Source organism: Homo sapiens, chromosome 8 (assembly GCF_000001405.40).
Source record: "Homo sapiens chromosome 8, GRCh38.p14 Primary Assembly".
Taxonomy (NCBI): domain Eukaryota; kingdom Metazoa; phylum Chordata; class Mammalia; order Primates; family Hominidae; genus Homo; species Homo sapiens.
This window is the reverse complement of record NC_000008.11, coordinates 123,997,842-124,021,086: the sequence shown is the minus strand read 5'-3', so window position 1 is coordinate 124,021,086 and position 23,245 is coordinate 123,997,842. Positions and strand designations below refer to the sequence as shown.

Here is a 23,245-nt window from a genome sequence, read left to right as displayed (position 1 = left end):
CTTTTCCCCCTTTTGCTTGGCACTTCTCTTGCCTGCCACCATGTAAGATGTGACTTGCTCCTCCTTGCCTTCCACCATGACTGGAGGCCACCATGGCCTCTTAGCCATGTGGAACTGTGCGTCAATTAAACCTCTTTCCTTTATAATTACCCAGTCTTGGGTATGTCTTTATTAGCAGTGTGAGAACAGACTAACACACAGGCTTTCTGATATTTAACAACAACTGCTATGATAATAGCAGCTTAAGGTGTACTGAGCTGTTCCTCTGTGCCAGGCAACATTCTAACCACTGTATTAATCCTTTGTTACTCCTCATAACAGCCTTATGAGGTAGGTTCTATTTTTCCCATTTTACAGCTGAGGAAGCAGTAACGCAGCTACTGAATGGCAGAGCCAGAGCTGACCCCCAGCTGCATCCAGAGTCTACATGCTTAACCACTGCACTCACCACCTCTTCCCAGAGGTATGGTTGCTGCTTTCAGACCAAGAAGACATCGTATGAGAAATGCTGCCAGAAAGCTCAGTATAAGTGGTTGGAAAACCCAAAAGTGTTTATTTTGATTCATTTGTTCAGCTCACATTTATGTGCTTAGGAAAAAAAAATATTTACAGTGACTTCTAAGGCCCTGTGTGCATTGGCCCTGCCACTGTCTGCTTCATCTTATAATATTCCTTCCTCACTCACTGTGCCTCAGGCACACTGGTCCTCAGAAGCCCTAGAACTTGACAAACTTTGTCCATCCTAAAGCCGGTGTATTAGTCTGTTCTCGTGCTGCTAATAAAGACATATCCAAGACTGGGTAATTTATAAAGGAAAGAGGTTTAATGGAGAACTCACAGTTCTACATGGCTGGGGAGGACTCATGGGGAGAATCATGGGGAAGGCAAGGAGGAGCAAGTCACGTCTTACATGGATGGCAGCAGGCAAATAAACAGAGCTTGTGCAGGGAAACTACCCTTTATAAACCATCAGATCTGATGAGACTTATTCACTATCATGAAAACAGCATGGGAAGACCTGCCCCCATGATTCAATTACCTCCCAGCAGATCCCTCCCACAACACGTGAGAGCTCAAGATGAGATTTGGGTGGGGACACAGCCAAACCATATTAGCTGGTATGCCTGGTGTTTCCTCTTGCTCAAATGTTCTTCCTAGACTCTACATGGCTGGTTTCTTCTCATCTTTCAGGCCTCAACTTAAATGTCACCACTGTATTACATTCCCCCATGTTTTCCTGATCCCAGTGGCTTCTTAGAATTTCCTTTTGAATCACAATCTGTAATAATTTTTATGTATTTTCTGTTTACCTATCTATCTTCTGTCTTAATCATTAATGTGTAAACTTCAGTAGGACAAGGACCTCCTCTGTCTTGTCCTTATTGTATGCTCAGTGTCTAACAGAGCTCCTGGCACATAGGTGTTAAATAAATGTTTATGGAATGAATGAACTACTCAATCTAGAAATTCCTCAAGGACAAGCACTACGTTCTTCTAGCTTTGTTCCCAGCATCTAGAGGAGTGTGTGGCACATAGGAAGCCTCTGCTAATGTTATACACCAGGCACTATGCTTGGAGCCCAGGTCTGGGACAGGGAGAAGAAATAATGCTTTATTTTCCTGAGACATTGACAGTTTGGCGAGGTGAAAACAATACATGGTGAGGTGAAAACAATACATGCACATAATTAAAATGTATGAAGCACTGTGGTGCTAGACAGGGGCAAAGCTGGTTACCTGGAGAATATGACATTTGAGCTGAATTTTAAAATGTGAATAGAATTCATCAGAGAGTAAGAAGACAGAGGGAAGAGTTACATATGAATATACATAATCATCAAGGATTCAAAATTGTCAGAGCATAGATACATAGGAACGAACTAAAGACGGATAAGGTTGGGATGCTAGGTTGGGACCAGATAGTAAATAGCCCAATGTATCATGCAAAAGGGATTTAGATTTTATCCTATGAATGATTGAGATAACCCAGTGATTTTTTTAAACAATAATGATCTAATCAGGCTTGTGTTTTAGAAAGACCATGCTGGTTGTAATACAGAAGATGGATTAGAGGAAGACTTTTGCCATACTCTAGAACAGAGGTGCTAAGAAACTCAGTTTAGACAGTGACTCTGAAGATGAAGAAGTGGAGTTCGTTCCAGAGTCATTAAGAGGCAGAATCTGCAGGACCTAGTATTCAAATGGCTACTTAAGGTGAGAGATAAAGAGCCAATGTTGAAACTTAGCCTTCTTGTTTGAGCAGTAAGTCTAGCTGGCAGTGCCAATGCAGGATGTGGAACAAGTTGAGATAAGGTGATGGGCTCAGAGTTTGGAGTGATGTGAGATAAGCATGGAGATGCCCATTAGGAGGCTGGAAATGCAGGTCTAGAGATGAGGAGGGAGACCTAGGCCACTAAAAAAAGATATTGAAATAATCAGGCCAAGGGCTGTCAGACAATGTGAAGACAGAACTCTGCAGAAAACATGGAGTAGAGGGAAGCTGCAGAGATAGCACTTCAGCCAGAGGTGCTGAGAAAAGCCAGCATAGGAAGAAGGTCTTATTGATGGTGGGAATCTAGCCTCCCTGAAATGTTCCAGAGGACAGAAAAGAAGCATTCTGGGACGAAGGATGGATGAGGAGTTAGGAGACCTGGGTTTTAGTTTTTGGATTACAGTTAACTAGCTGTGATCTTTAGAAAAAGTCATTTAATATCTCTGAGTCCCACTCATACTTTAAAATGTCCCTGAGAAGTCAAGCACTGAGTAATTTTTCTTTGCAGAATTATCCTGGCCTCACATGAAATGTCCCTTGGTGCCCTTGCTGGCACTGACATTTTCAATTGAGATAATCCAGGGCCTGACTTGGTCTGGCAATTCTAGTCACCAGTCACTGAAGAAGAACTGAGCAACTGTTAGGCACCTAGCACATGCAGGTTCCCAGGACACAGAGGGGTAACAACTACTGACCTGCTCTCAAGAAGCGCTTTTAAATTTTAACACAATTCTCAATAGGAGGAACCTGAAGTCAAGGAGCATAGTTATTTCTTTTGATCTCTTGACTTGTGAGTCAGAGGGCCAAGCGAGTCTACCGCCTTTAACAAAATATGAAGGTCAAGAAAATGAGCAAGAGGTCACCTATTCTCCATCAGAGTAGGAAGTAGGACCAGTGGGCTTCTAGTTCATCCTTATAAACCTTCAATAAATGTTCATTTCTTTCCAACTTAACAAATAGTCCCTTTTCACTCTTGTCTCTGCATCCCAAAAATGTATGACCTTTAAACCTCAACCTCATTTGGTCTGTGACCTATGCCTCATCCGTGAGGTTTATTTTTAACTCTGTCCACAAAGTATAAATAGATTTTCACATACCAGCTCCTGCCAGCAGAGCGTAAGTCGCTTCTTATCTAAAGTGGTTTGGTTCAACATCTTGGGCTTTTTTTCTGCTTCAGAGATAAAGGCACTATAAGAAAAGAATAACAATTTTGAAACCTACTTAGTGAAAATCCATTTATATAATTCCAGAGGTTTGCAAATATTGTTTCTGCAATACAGTGGAAAGCTTTTGAAGCCATAAAACCAATATTTTTAATTTAGGATTAAGCAACTATGTATTAACTTTTCCAAGAGACAAAATGATAACTGGAAATGATGCCCAGACCCAACATTAGTTTTGGGGAACAGATTTTTTTTTCCACTTTCTTTCAGTACAATCCATTGTGATTGCTATAAAAATTCATAACAAAACCCACAAAATACTGTTTTCCTTCATCTTACAAATTTAACACACACCAAAAGTTTGCTGAAAAGTTGTATGTAAAACAAATATTTTAGATTCAATACCTAGATGTGTCCCCACCATTTAAAAACAATAGGAAAGACTGAGTAGTAACATTTTTTGGAGGTAAAGTTAAAAATGTGTTAAATAGGAAAATAGTAAAGATTGTGAATGCCATTCAAGAAGAAAAATGTAAATGGACTAAACGCTTGGGGAAATAAGATATTGCCCTCACTAGTGATAACTTAAATGCAAATTAAAATTAATAACATTTTACCTATAAAAATGAATAATATTCAAAGTTGGTGAAGATGTTGGGAGATAGTCACTCTTCTACTCTATGGAAGGTGGGTGTAAATTCTTAGTGTTTTAGAGGCTATTTGATAGCACCTATCAAAATTTAAATTTGATTCAAAATTAAACTAAATTACACTAGAATTCTTACCCTTCAAAAATAATTGAACAATTTGACAAGATTATGTTTACATAATCATATGTATTGTAGCACTGTTCATAGTAGCAAAATAAGTGGGAACAACTTAAATGTCATTAGGGACTAGTTAAATATATCATGACACATACATGCAATTGAATATTCAGGATATCTATTATGTGCACCTGTAGAAAGATGCCTGTGATATTTTGCTGAATGAAAAGGCAACCTGCTGAGCAAATGTGTGATATCATTTGTGAAGGAATATGGTATGAGTGTGGACATGAGGGTGTATGTTCCCAAATGCACAGAAAAAAGTCCAGGAGGACAAATCAAACTCTTCTCACTGGAGAGTAGGTTTGGAGAGAGAATTGAGAAGAAATTTCCTACTTGGTATATTTATTTTTTTTTAATGATGAGCATGATCATTTCAGTGATGAGCACTTCTGATGAAAAAAATCAATTATAAAGGAAACAAAAAGGAAAGTCTAAGATGCCACACCACCCAGCCCAAGGTCCCATACCAGGCTCTACCCACTGGCAGTTGAAAGTCTCACCAGAAATCCTCCTTGGACACACTAGTAATGTTACATTTTCTTTAAATTTTTTAAAAAGAATAAAAAGGATTATATTTTGAGGAGGGAATCTTGTTGCCCCATTCCTGCCTTTTCTTGTGGCAGAAGGAATTCCATTTCACTCTCCAGAATGGATCAGTGCAGGTAGACATAATCACTTCTGATCCCTTTCCTTTCCCCACAGGGAGAAATAATTTGTTTCCTCGTTAACATTGGGGTAAATGACCATAGCACATGTTTCTGTTCATTCTTCATCTTTCAGACCCAACCTGTCTGCTGGCTATGGACATCCTCCCTTACCTTCACATGTCACATGGCAAGTGCCCTCTCCTGGTGAGGGGCAAGGGTGAGATGGAGGGAGAAGCCCTGTTGAGCTGCTTGGCCATGAACAGTTTGGGGGAACAGGAAGCTTGCCTTGACCTCGGGTCCAAGGTGCTTTCTCAAACCTAACTTTTCCAGATATAAAACTAACATTTTTATCTCTGTCTTATCCTAATATTTTTTTCAGTTGGTTGTAAACTTGAAAAAGGGGGAATGATTAGCTATCATCCCAAGTAATCCCCTAACATAGAGAAGTTATTGAGCTTTTAATTTGCTCATAAACAGTTTCTAAAAGTGTGGATTGTGAAGCTTTTAAAAATGCTTAAAGGGAATTGCAGGTGGCACTAAACAGCTCACAGCAGGAGTAATATATATATATATATATATATATATATATATATATATATATATAGCTTTTATAATGAAAAACAAGAAACAAAAACTATTTCTTTTCTTTACTTTTTTTGTGAAGTAAAAATTGTAGAGTAGTTGAGAGACTGGGGAGGCAGAACTTAAAAACCTGAACACCAGAATTCAGCTACTCCCTGCCTCTCATCAGATGAATTTCCACTCCTTTTCCATTAGTTCCATTATGACAAGTTCTCATATTTGCTCAAATCTTAAACTACTTAATTTCAAGGGTTAGTCCAAGTTGTTTCCTTAAAGGGTCAGCAGCCTCTAAGATGGCTCCAGTGAGTCCTACCTCCTGCAATTCATGCCACTGTGTAATCCCCTCCCTTTGAAGGTGGGCTGGGCCTAGTGACTTGCTTCTAACAGAACCGTCAAGAGTGATGGGCTGTCACTTCCAAGACTAGGCATGGGAGACTCTGACTTCTGTCTTGCTAGGATGTTCTGACTCTTTGTGCTTGCTGGCTCTAATGAAGCCAGCTGCTCTGTCATGAGAGGCAGCTTAGAGAGGCTCACGTGGCAAGGCATTGAGGGTGGCCTCCAACCAACAGCTAGTGAGAAATTGAAGTCCTCAGCCCAATGGCCCATGAAAAACTGAATTCTGCAAATAACCACGTGAGTGATCTTGGAAGTGAATCCATCCCATTGGAACCTTGATATGACTGCAGCCAGGGAGAGACTCTGACCCAAAGGACTCAGCTGAGCCACACCTGGACCCCTGACCCACAGAAACAGTGAGATAATAACTATGATGTTAAGCCACTGAGTTTTGGGGAAATTTGTTTCTCAGTAAAAGATAACTATGTACCCTATTTTTTATCTTTTTTTATATTGTCTGCCCTCTAGAATAAGGGTTACTAATTGGTACTCAATATGTTGTATAAAAATTTCATTAAATAGTGTTGGGACACAGAAAACAATTCCCCAAAATACTGAGTGCTTTGAAAATTGCAAGGCCTCAGAAATAAGACTCAGAACCAGGGTTTCTCTCTAACCTTTTCCATGTCTCCCTGTCTCTCTGACCCTCTTTTCCAAAGCACCAAGAGAGACTCTTTAAATTTTCCTATCAGACTAAGAAAGCTTAAATGTGATTGTCTTAAGACTCCCTCCCTAGAGATCTCATCAAATAACCAGGAAAGACCAACCAACAGAGAAGAGACTGGAATCATCTGCCCAGAAAGACTTTTCATCTATTCTTCTAAGGACAGCTCCAAGAGATTACCTGGGGGACTTTGTATAAAAAATAAGACAACCTGTGTTCCTGTGCAGCTTCATCCCTCATCTTTCCCTAAGGTCGGCCTCCCTTCTCCCTGGTCCATTCATTCTTCCTAGTGATTTACTGTCCCTCAAAAGAACTGTCTACATTCTCCATCTCCCCCGTCCCCTCTGAAGAAGGATATATATAAGCTTCTGTACTGCACTGGGTAATTGAGTAATCACTCTGTGATTCTCCCCTGTGCACGTTAATACATTTGCATGCCTTTTCTCCTATTAATCTACTTTTTGTCAGTTGATTTTCAGTGAGCCTTCAGAGAGAGGAGGGAAGGTTTTCCCTCAGCCCCACAATAGTATATTCAAATATACTATTCAGGCTCACTGAATAGTATATTTCACTGAAAATAGTTGATTTTCAGTGAGCCTTCAGAGAAGAGATGTTTTCCCTCAGCCCTACTATGGTATTTTATATATTAATAGCTTATTCTTCTGCCCATCTAAGTGTCAAATAGTTGCTGAGTGTCTACCACATGCACAGCACTATGCTGGTACACTAACACTACTAGCATTTTTCTTGTTTCCTACAGAGTCTCTGTAGTAAGTCTTCCTTTGCTTTTTCCTACCTTTGATTTATGTTTGAGTTGTTACAGTGTCAAGAAGCAATAGTTAGTCCACAAGCACGAGTGAAATTACTGAACAAAATTAAGATGGATACAGCACTCTAAAACACCCATTTGAATGCATGTGAAATCGACGACTTTCTCAAGGTAATTAAAAGCTGAGACCACAGAAGCTCAGCTCCGCCTATGCCGGCTGTCTCTCCCGGTACCTGCTCCGACTGATGAAGTCACTGAGCACTGTTTTCATTTTCTCTTCAGGTGCCTCCTGTGAAATCTTGATCAATTCTCTCACTTCTTCTATACTTTCTTCCTGAAAACAAACCACAGGGGTGGAGAGATGAGGCGGTGGTAATGAGATTGGTAGTAGAGATACTAATTATAATGTACTAGAAATAACAGCTATTTTTTTTTTGTTTTGGCAATGAAGGAGGATTTATCTAGTTTTCTTGTACTTGAATTGGAAAATGCTACTGCATTCTAACTTTGAACTTTTCTTTTAGTAAGTGGAATTGGTCCACATACAAGTCTTCTCCCATACTGTTCAAACTCATTGTTTCTGTTATAGATCCATTCCCTAATGGGTACCATTTATTTAGAATCTACCCTCTGGGGAAACCTAATAACGTGGGAAATAGCTAACAATGTAGAGTAATTAGATATAATTACCCAAAACTTCAAAAGTAATGTTCAAGTCAATTTTTTACATAGGGATATAATCATATTGAATAATCCCTGAAATTAAAGGGTTCCCCATTCTTCTGATTGCATGAGTTTTGGGCCAGATAATGGGACAGATTGTATATGGCAATGGCCCTATGCTTGTATACTTAATAATCACACTTTTCCTTTGGGCCTAAATTCTAGAATTCTATTTAGTGGCCTGGAGGAAAATGGCACCTAAGGGGAAGTATATGTGTTACTACTCCTTTGCTAGAATTTACGAAACTATATTCTCTACCATATCCCAAAGTCTCGTGCCTAGGGACATATGTTCCCCTCTTTACACATTCACTATAATAGGAAACATTGTGGCATAGTTAAGGATTTGGGCTCCAGAGTCAGATTGCCTTGGTTCAAATCCAGGCTCTATCACTTACAAGTGAATTAATCCATTTATGCCCAATTTCTTTATCTGTGGAATGGAATAATAACAGAACCCACCTACAACACTATAGGGGGTATGGATATCTTCAAACAGTGCTTGGTAGTTAGTAAACATTCAGTCATGTCTCTCATGGTGGTTAGCCATGATATGCCAAGCATGGCAGGGATGCCAGCACTGAGAAAGGAATTAGAAATGAATGTCACTATGGCCTCTAGGAAAAAATTCTGATTTGCTTTGTCAAGACTCTTGGAGATAAACGATCTGTTCTGTCTGAAGAGAAGTAAGACCAGCTCAACCAAGACAGTCTGTGACCTCCATGTGCTGTGACCCCAGACTAGGCCTCCTGACCACTTTCAGAGTTTATCTCCATGTTGCCTGGAATCCCCATGGTCAGAGACAATACTTTGTTTTACAAATTGAGAGACAAGGATTATAAAGCAAATGGGACAGAGAAATTTGTTCTTGACTTAGCATAGGTTTTAACGGAACAGGAGGGTCAAGACAAAGATGATCTGGTAAGGCATGTGGGACGGAGTAGAGGGAGCACGGGAGTAGGAGAGAAGAATTTATAAAGGGGAGGTGCAAGATGTCAGAGAAACAGAGGTCCCAGCTTTCTCTCCCTCCTTGGGCTTAGGTGGGAAAATCTAGCATTGATTGGATATTGATTGGCACTGTTTACAGTATAAAATACTTTCAGACATTCAATTCCCTGAATAATTATTTAGTGGCTATCACGTGCCAGGTATTATGCTAAATGCTATAGAAACAGTGGCAAATAGTTATTGAACAAATAAACACACAAATATATTGTAAAGTATGATAAGAGGTCCAAAGGAAAATAACAGGGTGTTGGCCAGGCACAATGGCTCATGCCTATCACCCCAGCAATTTGGGGGCTGAGGCAGGAGGATTGCTTAAGCCCAGGAATTCCAGACCAGCCTGAGTAGCATAGTTACATCTTGTCTCTACCAAAAAAAAAAAAAAAAAAGTCAGGCATGGTGGCATGCATGCACCTGTAGTTCCGACTTCTTGGGATGCTGAGGTGGGAGGGTTGCCTAGGAGTTCCAGGCCAGCCTGGGCAACACAGTGAGACTCTATCTCTACAAAATATTTTAAAAATTAGCCAGGGGTGGTAGTACATGGTCCCAGCTATATGGGAGGCTGAGGCAGGAGGATTACTTGAGCCCAGAAGGTCAAGGCTGCAGTGAGCTGTGATTGTGCCACTGCATTCCAGCCTGAGTGACAAAGCAAGACCCCTTCTCAAAAACAAAACAAAACAAAACAGGGTGTTATGTAAGAAGATAAGGGGGTAGAAGGTGTCAGACTCTTCCCTGAGGAAGTCTGAAACTGAGCCCTGGAATTTGGCTGGGTTATAAGAAGACTGGAGAGGGGAAAAGTAACAGAGGAAAAGGCATGGTGGGTGGCTGCGAAGCTTAAAGGAACTTGGTTTTTTCAACATATTAAAAGGGCACCAGTGTAGTTGGAACAAAGTAAGGGAGGAAGAACTTAGGAAAGATGGGGCTATAGGTTAGGCAGGGCCTGATCTTGTAGGCAGTTGTCCACTATGCCAGGGACTTAGGATTTTTTATTAGTTGAAGCCAGGATCTATCAATTTTGTGAGAAAGTTGTCAACTCCTGCCCTTTGGAGATTAGAAAAACAGCCCATACCTAGATCCTATAACAGCCAGAAGCAGAGCAGGGATTTGAATTCAGGTAGTTTGATTCAAGTCCAGGGATTTTGCAAAATGAGGTCTCATTCCCCTAGATTTGCATAGTAGGATCCACGTGCCCTCCAAATGCAGCATCCTCAATTTATTTGTGTTTGAACTGAGGTCAACATCCTCTACTAGGTGGATTTTAAAAATCCCTTCCCCCACCAGCTTCCCAATTCTCTAATCCATCACCTGTCAGAGTCACCTACCAGGAAGTCTGCCATTTTCTCCAGCATGTTGGACCAGTGCAGCCTGAAGGTCTGGTCTCCCCAAGAGCTGATGAAATAGACACAGGGCTTCTTAGCCTCAAATGGCAAATAGTTGTAATTCCTGTGAAAACAATTAGGTCTGGAAGTTAGCTGGTAATCAGTGTTTTCCAGGCAACCCCAGTCACACGTTAATGTTTTATACGTTCTGGGCAGGACTCGGGAGGCATGATGAAAAAACTATCAAACTTTTAACACCATCTTTGATCTATAATTGGGGACCTGTGAGCAATGAACAATGAACAGTTAGATGGCTACAATGGAGAGGTATTAACAGCTACCATCAGAACCAGAACAAAGCTTAGAAATGATCACTAGAGGGCGGGATTTTTTTAGGCAGGCCTTTTTCAAGAAGGATGGCTTTATTTTTATTTAATTAATTTAATTAAGTAATTAATTTGCTGCCTCGGTCTGCAGCTCCACGACCCTCAAACTAGAACAAGACCTCTCCTCCTCCCTGACTCGCCAGCTTCCGAACCCTTGAACTACAACGACATTGCTCCTGCCTGGATCTGCAGCTCCACGACCCTAAAACCAGAACAAGACCTCTCCTCCACGGGTTGCCAGCTACCAGACCCTCGAATTACAACAACATTGCTGCTGCCTGGGTCTGCAGTTCCACGACCCTCAAACTAGAACAAGACCTCTCCTCCCCGGGTCGCCAGCTTGCAGACCCTCAAACTACGACAACATTGCTCCTCCCTGGGTCTGCAGTTCCACGACCCTCAAACTAGAACAAGACTTCTCCTGCCCGGGTTGCCAGCTACCTGACCTTCGAACTACAACAACATTGCTCCTCCTTGGGTCTGCAGCTCCATGAACCTCAAACTAGAACAAGACCTCTCCTCCCTGGGTCTCCAGCTTCCTGACCCTGGAACTACAACAACATGGCTCCTCGCTGGGTCTGCAGCTCCTCAACTCTCACCCTAGAACAGCAGCACCAGCTCCTTCCTGGACCTCCCGATCAATGACCCTCAGACTTCAAAGGCAGCACCAGTTCCACCCCCAGGCTCCAGCTCCAGCACCCTCAGATCTGAACAGCAGCAGCACCAGCTCCTGTGTGGCTCTTCTGTTTCATGATCCTTAAATTAGAACAGCAGCACCATCTTCTCCCTGGGTCTCCAGCTCTACAAAACTCAAGCTAGAATAGCAGCACCGGCTCCTCTGGGATCTTCAGCTCCACGACCCTGCAACATCAGTGCAGCACCGGCTCCTCCCCTGGGCTCCAGCTCCAGGACCCTCAAACTTGAACAAAAACACCAGCTCCTCCCCAGGCCTCCAGCTCCTTGACCCTCATAAACAATCCCTTCTTATGAAATGTAGCAGTCAGGAAAACTGCAGAGGAAGTAAATAAATAAATGTTTTCCTTTCAAAAAAAAAGTACTTAATTTGTTTTTAAAAGGCAAGGTCTTGCTCCATCACCCAGGCTGGAGTGCAGAAGGAGGATGGTTTTAAATGAGAGAGGGAAAACAGGAAGAAAAGTAACTTTTCCTTTTTAGTCTCTATGTGCCAGGCATATGTGAAAGTCAAGATAATAAATGTATTCCATAGTGGTTGTACCAGTTTACATTCCCAACAGCAGTGTAGAAGTGTTACCTTTTCACTGCATTCATGCCAACATCTATTTTTTTTATTTTTTTGATAATGGTCATTCTTGCAGGAGTAAGGTGGCTTTGTGCATTTTGAGCATTGTGGTCTTGATTTGCATTTGTGCATTTTGATCATTTGTGCATTTTGAGCATTGTGGTTTTGATTTGCATTTCCCTGATCATTAGTGATGTTGAGCATTTTTTCATATGTCTGTTGGTCATTTGTGTGTCTTCTTTTGAGAACTGTCTATTCATGTCCTTAGCCCACTTTTTGATGAGTTTTTTTTCTTGCTAATTTGAGTTCCTTGTAGATTCTAGATATTAATTCTTTGTCAGATGTATAGATTGTGAAGATTTTCTCCCACTCTGTGGGTTGTCTATTTACTCTGCTGTTACTTTTGCTGTGCAAAAGCTCTTTAGTTTAATTAAATCCCTCCTATTTATCTTTGTTTTTGTTGCATTTGCTTTTGGGTTCTTGGTCATACAATCTTTGCCTAAGCCAATGTCTAGAAGGGTTTTTCTGATGTTATCTTCTAGAATTTTTATAGTTTCAGGTCTTAAAGAACTAAAAGTAGAACTACCATTTGATCTGGCAATTCCACTATTGGATATCTACCCAGAGGAAAAGAAGTCATTAAGCAAAAAAGATATGCACACGCATGTTTATAGCAACACAATTTACGATTGGAAAAATGTGGAACTAGCCCAATTGCCCATCAATCAATGAGTGGATAAAGAAACTGTGGTGTGTGTGCGTATATATGATGGGATACTACTCAGCCATAAAAAGGAATGAATTAATGGCATTTGCAGCAACCTGGACATGATTGGAGACTATGATTCTAAGTGACACAACTCAGGAATGGAAAACCAAACATCGTATGCTTTCATTCATAAATGGGAGCTAAGCTATGAGGATGCAAAGGCATAAGAAGGATACAGTGGACTTTGGGGACTCGGAGGGGAAAGGGTAGGAAGGGAGTGAGGGATAAAAGACTACAAATTGGGTTCAGCGTATACTGCTCAGGTGATGGGTGCACCAAAATCTCACAAGTCACTACTAAAGAATTTACTCATGTAACCAAATACCATGTGTTCCACCAAAACCTATGGAAAAAGGCAATTTTAAAAAAGATAACAGATGTAAGTGCATTATATAAGCTGAAATTACTAGAGAAATGTAAAAAAATAATCATACTATCAATGAGGGTAAAGGCCTGTGTCCCAAACTAAACTTTGGCATTTCATGGCTTGCTCATCTAACCACCCTTCCCTCCATCCACTTTTCTTCCATTCTTTTCTTCCATCCATCCATCTGATATTTTTTGTTGCCAGGAATTAATGCTAGTAGGTTACCTGCTTGGCTAAAAATGGCAAGAGGAGGATAGCAAAGTAGCTAAAAGGGGAAGCTGTGGAGCCAGAAGGAATATTTAAAGATGGCAGTTGGAAATGTGAGCATGCTGATAAGAGGCAGTTAACAGTGTGAGAGAGATGACAGAAAAGCAGCAGTTAATTTATAGATTTTAATTCCAAGAAGGAAGTGGGTGGGTGTGGAGGTAGCTAAAGGGGGAGAAATATAACAAAAAGTTGAAGAAGTTCCCTGCCTAATGACAGCTATTGTTTTGACCAGGTTTTCCCCCAAACCCCATGTAATTTTTTCCCAAACACCTGGGACTGTGTGAAGAGAACTGTAGAAGACTAAAGTCCATGGAATGGGTGTGACAGGATGGCATATGGAGGAAGAAGCCTCTAGAAGGTAGGGGGGGGAGAGGGAGAGAGGGAGAGAGAGAAAGAGAGAGAGAGACATTTGTTTTCATTCCAAAAAGCTAAAGAGAACTTCAGCCTGAAAGAATGGATGGTTATTCTTTTTAGCTCTTCCACGCAAATTTCCTCTGAAGGAGACAATAAAATTAGTGAAGGTGCCCCGTGGTCTGCTCTGCAGAAAACAGACCAGCAGGTGTTTACTCAGAAGAGAAGCCACATAAGTTTTTGGCAGAAACTGAGGTTGTTATTACAGCAGGAGAACAAAAACAAGTTTAGAAACCAAACTGCTCTACTTTATCTCTTAAAAAATTATTGCACTAAGAATCCTGCAGATAGATAAATTCCCACCCCAAATTTTGCTTTGTCTCAAGGTTTCTTTGGTTTGGATCATCTCGTGCTAATGATGTTCAAGGCCTTTGTCTGTTTGGTTCTCAGGGACCTCCTAGTCTTAGTGTGTCTACATGGACAAGGATGCTGTGGCTTCTTAGGCAAACTGCAGTGCAGCTGGAGGGCAGCAGATGGCAAGGTGCTGTGCTGTTTGTGGAAAGAGGAGACTGCCAGTCTAAATGGCTGTCCCGATACAGGACCAGCTTTGTGACTTTGGGTCATCACATGATGACCTGTCATTGGATATCTTATTCTCCAGTCCCATTCCGGAGCTCCAGCCTAGTAAATAAGCTGCATGTGAATGCATGTGCTTTGCAACACTGGAAAGCCCAGAACAAATCCAAGGTGACATTTTAATGGGGGCAACAAATAAATTGTGTGTGTTCATATATATGTGCACATGCATGCATATATGTGCACACATGTATAGGGGTTGTTTGTAGACATAGAATTTTCCAACTCAGCTGCTGCCTCCCTGGCTTGCCACTATATAGACAGAGCCTCAATATGGTGACTGAAGAATGTACAGAAAGCCCAACTGTACCAAAAAAAAATACCAGCATGACTTATTTTGATCTCCTTGAGCCAGCAGGACAGCACTGATATGAGGTGCATCCAAGGATGCTTTGAGACCTCTCATCTCCTCCTAAACCCTTCCCTTACCATCTTCCCCTGAAACCCCCACCAATAGTCAACAATGGCTAATCCATCAAGGTAGAGAATGTCTTCACTGCCTGGCCCCAGTGCAAAGATGCAGAGTACCTCTGAGTAGTCTCAGAACAGTCCCCCAGAACTGCAGATCCAGCTGTTCCCTCACTGATGGCCTCAGTTTTGAGAATGAAGTTAAAAGACAGAGGAATTTTGGGTTCTCTCTGGTGTTGTGAAGAACGACAGATAAACAAGTATGGCTTTCAGGGAACGAAAAATTACCCCAAAGAAGGTGATTCTTGGAAGGCCCATGGAAGGACAGGGTTTAGAAAATTCAGGGAATGCTCAAAAACAAGAGGACAAACAGCTAAGACTATTTCAATGGACTCCATTCTGCTTTGTCCTAAATGCTTTCCCTCAATCCCTTAAGCACATTCTCATCCTTTAGGATGTTACTCTTTCTGTGACTTTCCCCAACTCCTTACCTCCTCCCCAGTGGGATTACTCACCTGACTCTGTTCCCATAGTACTCTGTACCCAATCCAGTTATAGTAATTCCTTAACTTATTCAAAAACACTTATGAGCATCTACTGCCATTCACTGGTCACAGAGATGAACAGATATGTGTGTGAATAAGGCATAGTCCCTGGCCTCAACATGCTCCCAGTTTAACAGAGGAGAGAGACAGGTAAAAAGTCTTCAATCAGTGCTTGGGGGAGGTGAGGACAAAGTCTAAATCAGACTGGGGATTCAGGGAATGGAATTGGGCTTTGTCTTGAACCTAGCAGTTCTGAGGAGGGAGATTATTGCCAGGCGTAAGGAAGAGTGTGTTCTAAGGTCCAGAAGCAGCACACAGCAGGACATATTGGGATACTGCCATGGGGCACTGCAGTTTGGAATAGAAGAAAGAATTTGTGGAGTGGCCAGAAATGAAGGTGGAGAAGTAGACTAGGATCAAATCCATAAGCTACGGCCTCCGGAATTAATCCTGAAAGCCACAGGGAGTCAATGAGTGATGTGAATCAGGAGAGTAACTGGTTCTCATAGTTTAGCGAAGGTCTTGAATAAGATTCAAACCAGGTAGGAGGTGTTGTTGCTGTTGTTGTTTTCTAGTAATGTAAGGTGAAGGTGCCAATGGCCAGAATTTTTAAATGGCATATCTGTATATCTATATATGAGAAATACTTAAGAACTGTATTGACTGGCTTCATCACTGAGCAGATGCAGGTAGGAAGGAAAAGAGAACAGTTGACGATTTTTTTTTTTTTTTTGAGACAGAGTCTTCCACTGTCGCCCAGGCTGGAGTGCAGTGGTGCGATCTCTGCTCACTGCAACCTCTGCCTCCCGGGTTCAAGCAATTCTTCTGCCTCAGCCTCTTGAGTAGCTGGGATCACAGGTGCCCGCCACCATGCCCTGCTAATTTTTTGTATTTTTAGTAGAGACAGAGTTTCATTATGTTGGACAGGCTGGTCTTGAACTCCTGACCTCGCGATCCACCCGCCTCGGCCTCCCAAAGTGCTGGGATTACACGCATGAGCCACCTCGCCTGACCAACAGTTGACAATTTTCTTGTCTGTGGCTTGGAGGACTCAGAATGGTGGGCTGAGAGATAGGAAAAATAGGGAAAGAAGAAAAGTTGTCTGTGAAGACAATGAGCCTGGTGAGTAATCTGTGGGACATCCAAGCAGAAGTGCTTAGATCTGCTGCTCAGGAAAGAGGGCTGTCTAGGAAAATAGATTTGGGAGTCCCTGTTATCCTGAGAGTAGTCATGGTTCAGTCCCCAGAGAGTGTCTAGATTGAAAAGAGCAGAGGGACTGAGGAGCGTAGAGATGTAGCTGTGTCAGGGCCATACAACATCTTCATTCTCTTCGCATACAAAATGGGGGAAGAAATATTCTATTATGAGAATCCAGTGAGATCATACATATTTCAAGATCTGGCAATAAAAGACTCTCAGTACACTATCCCTTCTTGTTTGATTGGTGCTTGACACCACTTTCTTTTAAAAAATTCTGTAATTTTACTTCTATTTGCAGGTTGAAACTTTGAATGGATTAAAGGAGATCAGTGAGAGTACATGTAAGTGCCCCCAGCTGTTTTCTGAAATTATCTTTTCTGGTGCCTGACAATTGTTTTTTTTTTTTTTTTTTTTTGAGTCTTTCAGTTTTGCAAATGACTGTGTCAAAAATAAGATAAGAAATGATGTATTCAATAATCCCATCAAATTGAATTTACATAATAGCACAGGACTCAGATGAATATAATAAGAGGATTTGGATTGAAATTGTAAGTTCTGACCTTCCTATCTTACTTTGCTTCAGTTATAGAATAAAGGGTACTTCAGATATGATCACCACCATCATCATTGCTCTGCCCTTAAATGAATTACCTAGATGTATCTGGAGGGTTGTCATGTTGCTAAAGATTCAGTTGAGTGGTACTTACCTTCTTGCTCCTATTTGCACCTTGTTCTCATAGCTGAGATTAAAAAATTATGTTTCTGGCCGGGCACAGTGGCTCAAGCCTGTAATCCCAGCACTTCAGGAGGCCGAGGCAGGAGGATCATGAGATCAGGAGATTGAGACCATCCTGGCCAACACAGTGAAACTCCATCTCTACTAAAAATACAAAAATTAGCCGGGCATGGTGGTGTGTGCCTGTAGTCCCAGATACTCGGGAGGCTGAGGCAGAAGAATCATTGAACCCACGAGGCAGAGGTTGCAGTGAGCTGAGATCGTGCCACTGCACACTGCACTCCAGTCTGGTGACCAAGCAAGACTCCGTCTCAAAAAAAAAAAAAAAAAAAAAAAAAAAAAAGGACATTTCTGATTTTAGTGAAGAACTGAAGAAAACAGTCCTAGAAACTGGACAAAATTCCACCAGCAAAATCCTTGACTGTTCTCCCAGGCTATGTCTCCTACCTGTTCCCTTCTGTCACCAGTGGCTTCTCCGGGTGAGTGGTGGAGGCCATAGGAATGGGAACATCATGGGCCACATCCCCTTGCCCTTCGTGAAGCAGTGGAAGGAGGTCTTCTTCAGCTGATTCAGCTGACTTCTTACTCCCATGATGGGATCCTCCATCAATCAGGTTTCCAAAATTACCTGCAGAGGCAGTAGCAAGGGGAAAGGGGTCAGGTGGTGGTAATCAGAATCAGTCTGCTTGGCATAAAGGATCCAAACTCATGTTCTCCCACAGCAATAAGGTAAGCTCCCATTATGAAGGTAGAAAGAGCAATGATCAGACCAACAAGACTGACAATGATGATGAGCTATCATCTCTATCCATCTTATTTTCTCTTTTGTAATAACTACACAAATGACAAATTAGAAAATACCATCAACTAAAAAAAGAGTCATTAGAAATCACAAAACTGTTATAACCATTTTAAACATTATAGTGTATAACCTTGCAGTGTCCCTGAGAACCTTGCACTATAGAGATGTTGGTAAAGAATCATAGATACGTCATTTTGTAACCTGCCTTTTTCACTAAATATCATGAACACCTTTCCAAACCTGCTTCTTCTGTAAGAGAAGACTTCTTGTCTAAATCCCCAATTAAGGGCGGGGGGTGGGGAGAGAGAGAGAGAAGCAGAGTGGGGAGAGAGGGAAGGAAAACATCATTTTTTCCCCTACAAATAGGGCAGCTTTTGTGCTATAAATATCTTTGTATAGGAATAGATATTCACTGCAGGCATACTGGTGTCATTGATCTTTCCATTTTGTAATCTAATTTCAAATGCTTTAAAAGATTTAGATGAACATTCCTCTCTTTTGGAAGGAGCTCCAAAGCTAGCCATGTTACAGAGTTTGTTGACTGTTCAAATCAAGAAAGGTTCAGGATCAAATGCCCATAATCACAAGGACCTCTTAACTTGGGAAGCCTTCCTAACTTCTTCGTTCCTGACCCCTGCCTTTCCTCTCCAGGCAGGCCAGGTGTCACTACTCTGTCTCCCTGCAATAGTCATTGGTGGTGCCCCACCCAGATCCTCTTTACCAGGAAGGAGCCCCCAAACCCCAGATACTGAGATCACTGCTAATAGCTTACAACAGCCACCTTCCGTACAGAATTGCCTTCTACTAATGGAGTCTGTCTCTCCACAGAAGATTATAAGGCCCCCTTCTTGTGCCTGAAGCCACTCACAGCTTCGTGTGGGGATATAAAAGCCCAGCCCACATGCCTCAAAGTGGGGCCAAGTCTGTGATGCCACTCACTTGAGAGCGCCTCACAGGATCAGGCTGTAGCTGGTCTCCCTGACCTCAGAGACCTGCCCTATGCTCCGTCACCCACTTCTCCTGAGAGCATGCCACCCAAACCTTACATGTATGAGAATCTTCCCAAGTTTCGTTTCTGGGAACCTAAGCTAAACAGGTCCCTAAAGTCACATCATATTCCCATCATTCCTCTACCATCTTGTTTTCAAATAATTTACTTAGATGTCTGCAAATGTCTTGAGAATGAAAATAGTATCTTGCTAATTTTTGTGTCTCCACTGGTCGTGGAATAAACACAGGGAGGGTCTTGATTCATATTTAGTGAATCAGTGACCTCAATGTGTTTCTATGTCCTTAAGAGTCTTTCTCCCAGTTCATTCCAGTTCATTCTTTTCTTCCCTTCTTCATTATTCTTACCTTAGGAATAATACTAAAATACCTGAGAGAGGCATAATAATATCCTAGAAAAAGAAGGAGACTTAGAGTTAGCAGGTTTTGTTTGAGTCCTCTTTTTAAAATTCACCAGCTATATAAGCTGAGGTGGTTGTTTGACCTCTCTGGATATCCACTATGGCTGAAACCATTGAATTTGTGGTAAATCAATCACAAAGGCAGAGCATGAGAGCAGAGAAGCAGGATAATTAGATGGGGTTTTTAATAGTAAAACAGGGAAGAGAATTGAGACAGCTGGGAAGAGTATGGCTAAAGGGATGAAACTTGTAGTCTGAGATGGACAGAGATGAAACTGAAACAGAAGAAAGGATTGGGTATCTTCATGAGTCAAAAGGAAGGTATTATAGTAAGAGACAATGAGAAGAATGGAGGGCAGGGCCAGAGAATAGGCTATTGGAGAGAAGGTCAGAGGTGGGGACACTCCCATATGCAGCTCACTACCTCCCTGTGGATCCCAGTCCACTAAGGGAATTTACTGCCTATGGGCAAGTTCTTCCTTGGATAGACCCCAAATCATCCCATTTTTTCACGTATGACCATGTGTTCTTAGGCCCATCCTAGAGCCCCACCTCATAAGTCTCCTTCCTCTTCTCTGGTCCTTTGATGCTTGAAGCCAGCTGCCAGGTCTCTCTCAGTCCCCACCCAAACCTCTCTTCTTAGAGCTAACCCTCCTGGGTCCCTCTGCCCTCTCTATAAAGATACATGTTCCCAAAATGTATCTCCATTTTCTCGTCATGCAGACAGGAGATTCTTTGTTAGGCTTCCAGCTGTACGGCTTAAAAGGGATGTATTTCATCTCTATTTTTTTCTGCCCTGTTGAAAGAGAGCTTCCTGAATATAAATCATGACCTTCTGTGATGGAATGCTCTTTCTGGGAATGGCTTTCCCAGTTGCATAATAGCCCAAGAAGATTTGGAGAGTTACATAATAACATCTACTGTATGCATGGCACTTTGTATGCCTTAACTCCTTAAACTTTGCAACTCTATGAGGAATTCATTTCACAGATGAAGAAACCGAGACTCAGAGACATTAAGTGAACTCTGGGTAATGCAACCAGGATTAGGAATCCAAGTATGTCTGAATCTAAACCTACAGTCTTAATCACTTTTGTGAAGTATGAAAATAAATCTAGAGGTGGAGCAAGATGGCCAATAGAACCCTGAAGTGATCACCCCCCACAGAAAGACCAAATTAAACAACTCTTCATACAAAATAAGCACCTTCATAAGAACCAGCAATCAGGTGAGTGATCACAGTACCTGGTTTTAACATCATATTAAGGAAAGAAGCACTGAAGAAGGTAGGAAAAACAGTCTTGAATTGCCTAAAGGTGATTCATTCTTCTCCATCCCCTAGCAGTGGCCAAATGGTGTGGAAAGAAAATCTGAGCACTTGGGGATGAAAAAAATGCAGTGATTGTGGGATTTTGCATTGGAATTCAGTGCTGCCTTGTCACAGTGGAAAGCAACACCAGGCAGAACTCAGCCGTCACCCAAGGAGGGAGCATCTAGACCAGACTTAGCCAGAAGCAAATCATCCATCCTAAGTTCCAGCAAGCTTTGCCACTGCAGGCTGAGGTGCTCTGTGGTCCTAAATAAACTTGAAAGGTAGTCTAGGCCACAAGGACTGCAATTTCTGGAAAAGTCCTGGTGCTATGCTGGGCTCAGAGACAGTGGACTTGGGGTGCACATGCCCTAGTGAGACATAAGCTGGGGCAGCCAAGGAATTTTCACTCTTCCCCCAACACTTCATAGCTCTAGGAGGGACTCCTTCCCTCTGCTTGAGGAGGGGAGAGAGGAGAGTAAAGACGACCTTGTCTTTCAACTTGGATACCAGCTCAGAATTAGCACCACACAGAGTTGTAAGATCCACATTTCAGGCCCTAGCCCACAGATGACATTTCTTTTGTTTTGTTTTTGTTTTTGTTTTTGTTTTGAGATGGAGTCTCGCTCTGTGGCCCAGGCTAGAGTGTAGTGGCTTGATCTCAGCTGACTGAAACCTCTGCCTCCCGGGTTCAGGCAATTCTCCGGCCTCAGCCTCCCAAACAGCTGGCATTGCAGCCATGTGCCACCACACCTGGCTAATTTCTGACACCTGGCTAATTTTGTATTTTTAGCAGAGACAGGGTTTCACCACGTTGGCCAGGCTGGTCTCAAACTCCTGACCTCAAGTGATCCACCTGGCTTGGCCTTCCAAAGTGCTGGGATTACAGGTGTGAGCCACCGTGCATGGCCCCCAGATGACATTTCTAAACACACCTTGGAACAGAAGGGAACCCTCTGCCTTGAAAGGAAGAACCCAGTCCTAGCAGAATTAATCATCTGCAGACTAAAGAGCCTTTGGGCCTTGAATAATTAGCAGTGGTAGCCAGGCAGTACTCACCACTGTCCTTGGGTGAGACTCAGCACCATGCTGGCTTCAGGTGTGACCCAACACATTCCCAGCGGTGTTAACTATGGGGAGAAACCCCTTCTGTTTGAGGAAAGGAGAGGAAAGAATAAAGGGGACTTTGTCTCACAGCTGAGATTCCAGCTTGGCCACAATGAGGTAGAACACCAGGCAGGTTCTCAGGGCCCCTGATTTCAGGCCTTCACTCTCCTAGACAGCATTTCTGGACCTGTCTTGGGTCAGAGAGGAGCCCATTGTCACAAAGGGAGGGACCTAAGCCTGGATTCATCATAAGCAGACTAAAGAGCCCTTGGGCCTTGAGTGAACATTGCTAATCGCCAGGCAGTACTTGCTGTGGGGCTAGGGCGGCAGTGGTCATGGGTAGAGACTCAGCTGCTTGAGAAAAGGAGAGAGAAGAGTGGAAAGAATGTTGTCTTGCAACTTGGATGCCAGCTCAGCCGCAGTAGAATAGAAAACCAGGTAGATTTCTAAGGTTTTAGATTCCAAGTCCTGGCTCCCAGATGACATCTCTGGACCCATCTGGGGCCAGGGGTGAACTCATTGCCCTGAAGGAAAGGACAGGCACCTGGCTGGATTAACCACCTGCTGAGGTACAGCCCTTGGTCCTTGACTGAACACAGGCAGTAGCCAGACAGTGGTCATCATGGGCCTTAGGCGAGACCCAGGGATGTGCTGGCTTTGGGTCTGACCCAGCCCAGTCCCAGTGGTGGTAGCAACAGAAGTGCTTGTGTCACCCCTCCCCCAGCTCCAGGCAACTCAGTACAGAGAGAGAGAGAGAGAGAGAGAGAGAGAGAGAGAGAGAGAGAGAGAGAGAGTTTCCCTCTTTTTGAGGGAAACTAAGAGAACAAGTGTCTCTGCCTATTAATCAAGAGAATTCTTTTGGATCTTACCCAAGATCACCAAGGCAGTACCTCTACAACTCTGCAAGAGCCACAGTGTTACTAGGCTTGAAGTTCCCTCTAATTCAGATGCAACTTCAGTAACCAAAGGATTAGATCACAACTCCCAAGTCCCTTCAAATATCTAGAAAGCTTTCCTAAGAAGGATGGGCGCAAACAACCCCAGACTACAAAGACTACAATAAATACCTAACTCTTCAATACCCAAACACCAAATAATATCCACAAGCATCAAGACCATCCAGGAAAACATGAGCTCACCAGGCAAACTAAATAAAGCACTAGTGACCAATTCCAGAAAGGCAGAGATATGTGAGCTTTCAGAGAAATCAAAATAGCTGTATAGAGGAAACTTAATAAAATTCAGGATAACACAGAGAAGCAATTCAGAATACTACCAGACAAATTTAACAAAGAGATTGAATAATTAGAAAGAATCAAGCAGAAA

The 23,245-nt window shown here is 42.4% G+C and overlaps 1 protein-coding gene and 1 long non-coding RNA gene across 8 annotated transcripts in view, besides 1 other annotated feature; one reads left to right on the top strand and one right to left on the bottom strand.

Annotated features, from left to right (window-relative positions):
- The window catches only part of FER1L6 (fer-1 like family member 6), a 268,075-nt gene that overhangs the window by 98,975 nt on the left and 145,855 nt on the right, over positions 1-23,245 (bottom strand). For all 7 annotated transcript variants that reach the window (XR_928347.3, NM_001039112.2, XM_011517231.3 and 4 more), the window contains 4 exons: positions 17,740-17,920; positions 10,373-10,493; positions 7,556-7,656; positions 3,369-3,459 (listed from right to left, as the gene is read on the bottom strand). Coding sequence is in view for 6 of the 7 variants with exons in the window: in NM_001039112.2 (NP_001034201.2) it covers positions 3,369-3,459; positions 7,556-7,656; positions 10,373-10,493; positions 17,740-17,920 (494 nt within the window). In the remaining variant the exon portion in view is untranslated. The remainder of the gene's footprint in view (positions 1-3,368; positions 3,460-7,555; positions 7,657-10,372; positions 10,494-17,739; positions 17,921-23,245) is intronic.
- The window catches only part of FER1L6-AS1 (FER1L6 antisense RNA 1), a 56,645-nt gene that overhangs the window by 19,696 nt on the left and 13,704 nt on the right, over positions 1-23,245 (top strand). Inside the window, exons 2-5 of the long non-coding RNA NR_040044.1 lie at positions 5,045-5,214; positions 6,613-6,804; positions 7,377-7,493; positions 16,855-16,897. This is a non-coding gene — a long non-coding RNA (FER1L6 antisense RNA 1). The remainder of the gene's footprint in view (positions 1-5,044; positions 5,215-6,612; positions 6,805-7,376; positions 7,494-16,854; positions 16,898-23,245) is intronic.
- Positions 13,784-14,078: a silencer, noted in NCBI's record as "tiled region #12119; HepG2 Repressive non-DNase unmatched - State 23:Low". NCBI's record gives its function as "represses a minimal TATA promoter and a strong SV40 promoter by Sharpr-MPRA in HepG2 cells {active_cell/tissue: HepG2}" and the evidence as "EXISTENCE:reporter gene assay evidence [ECO:0000049][PMID:27701403]".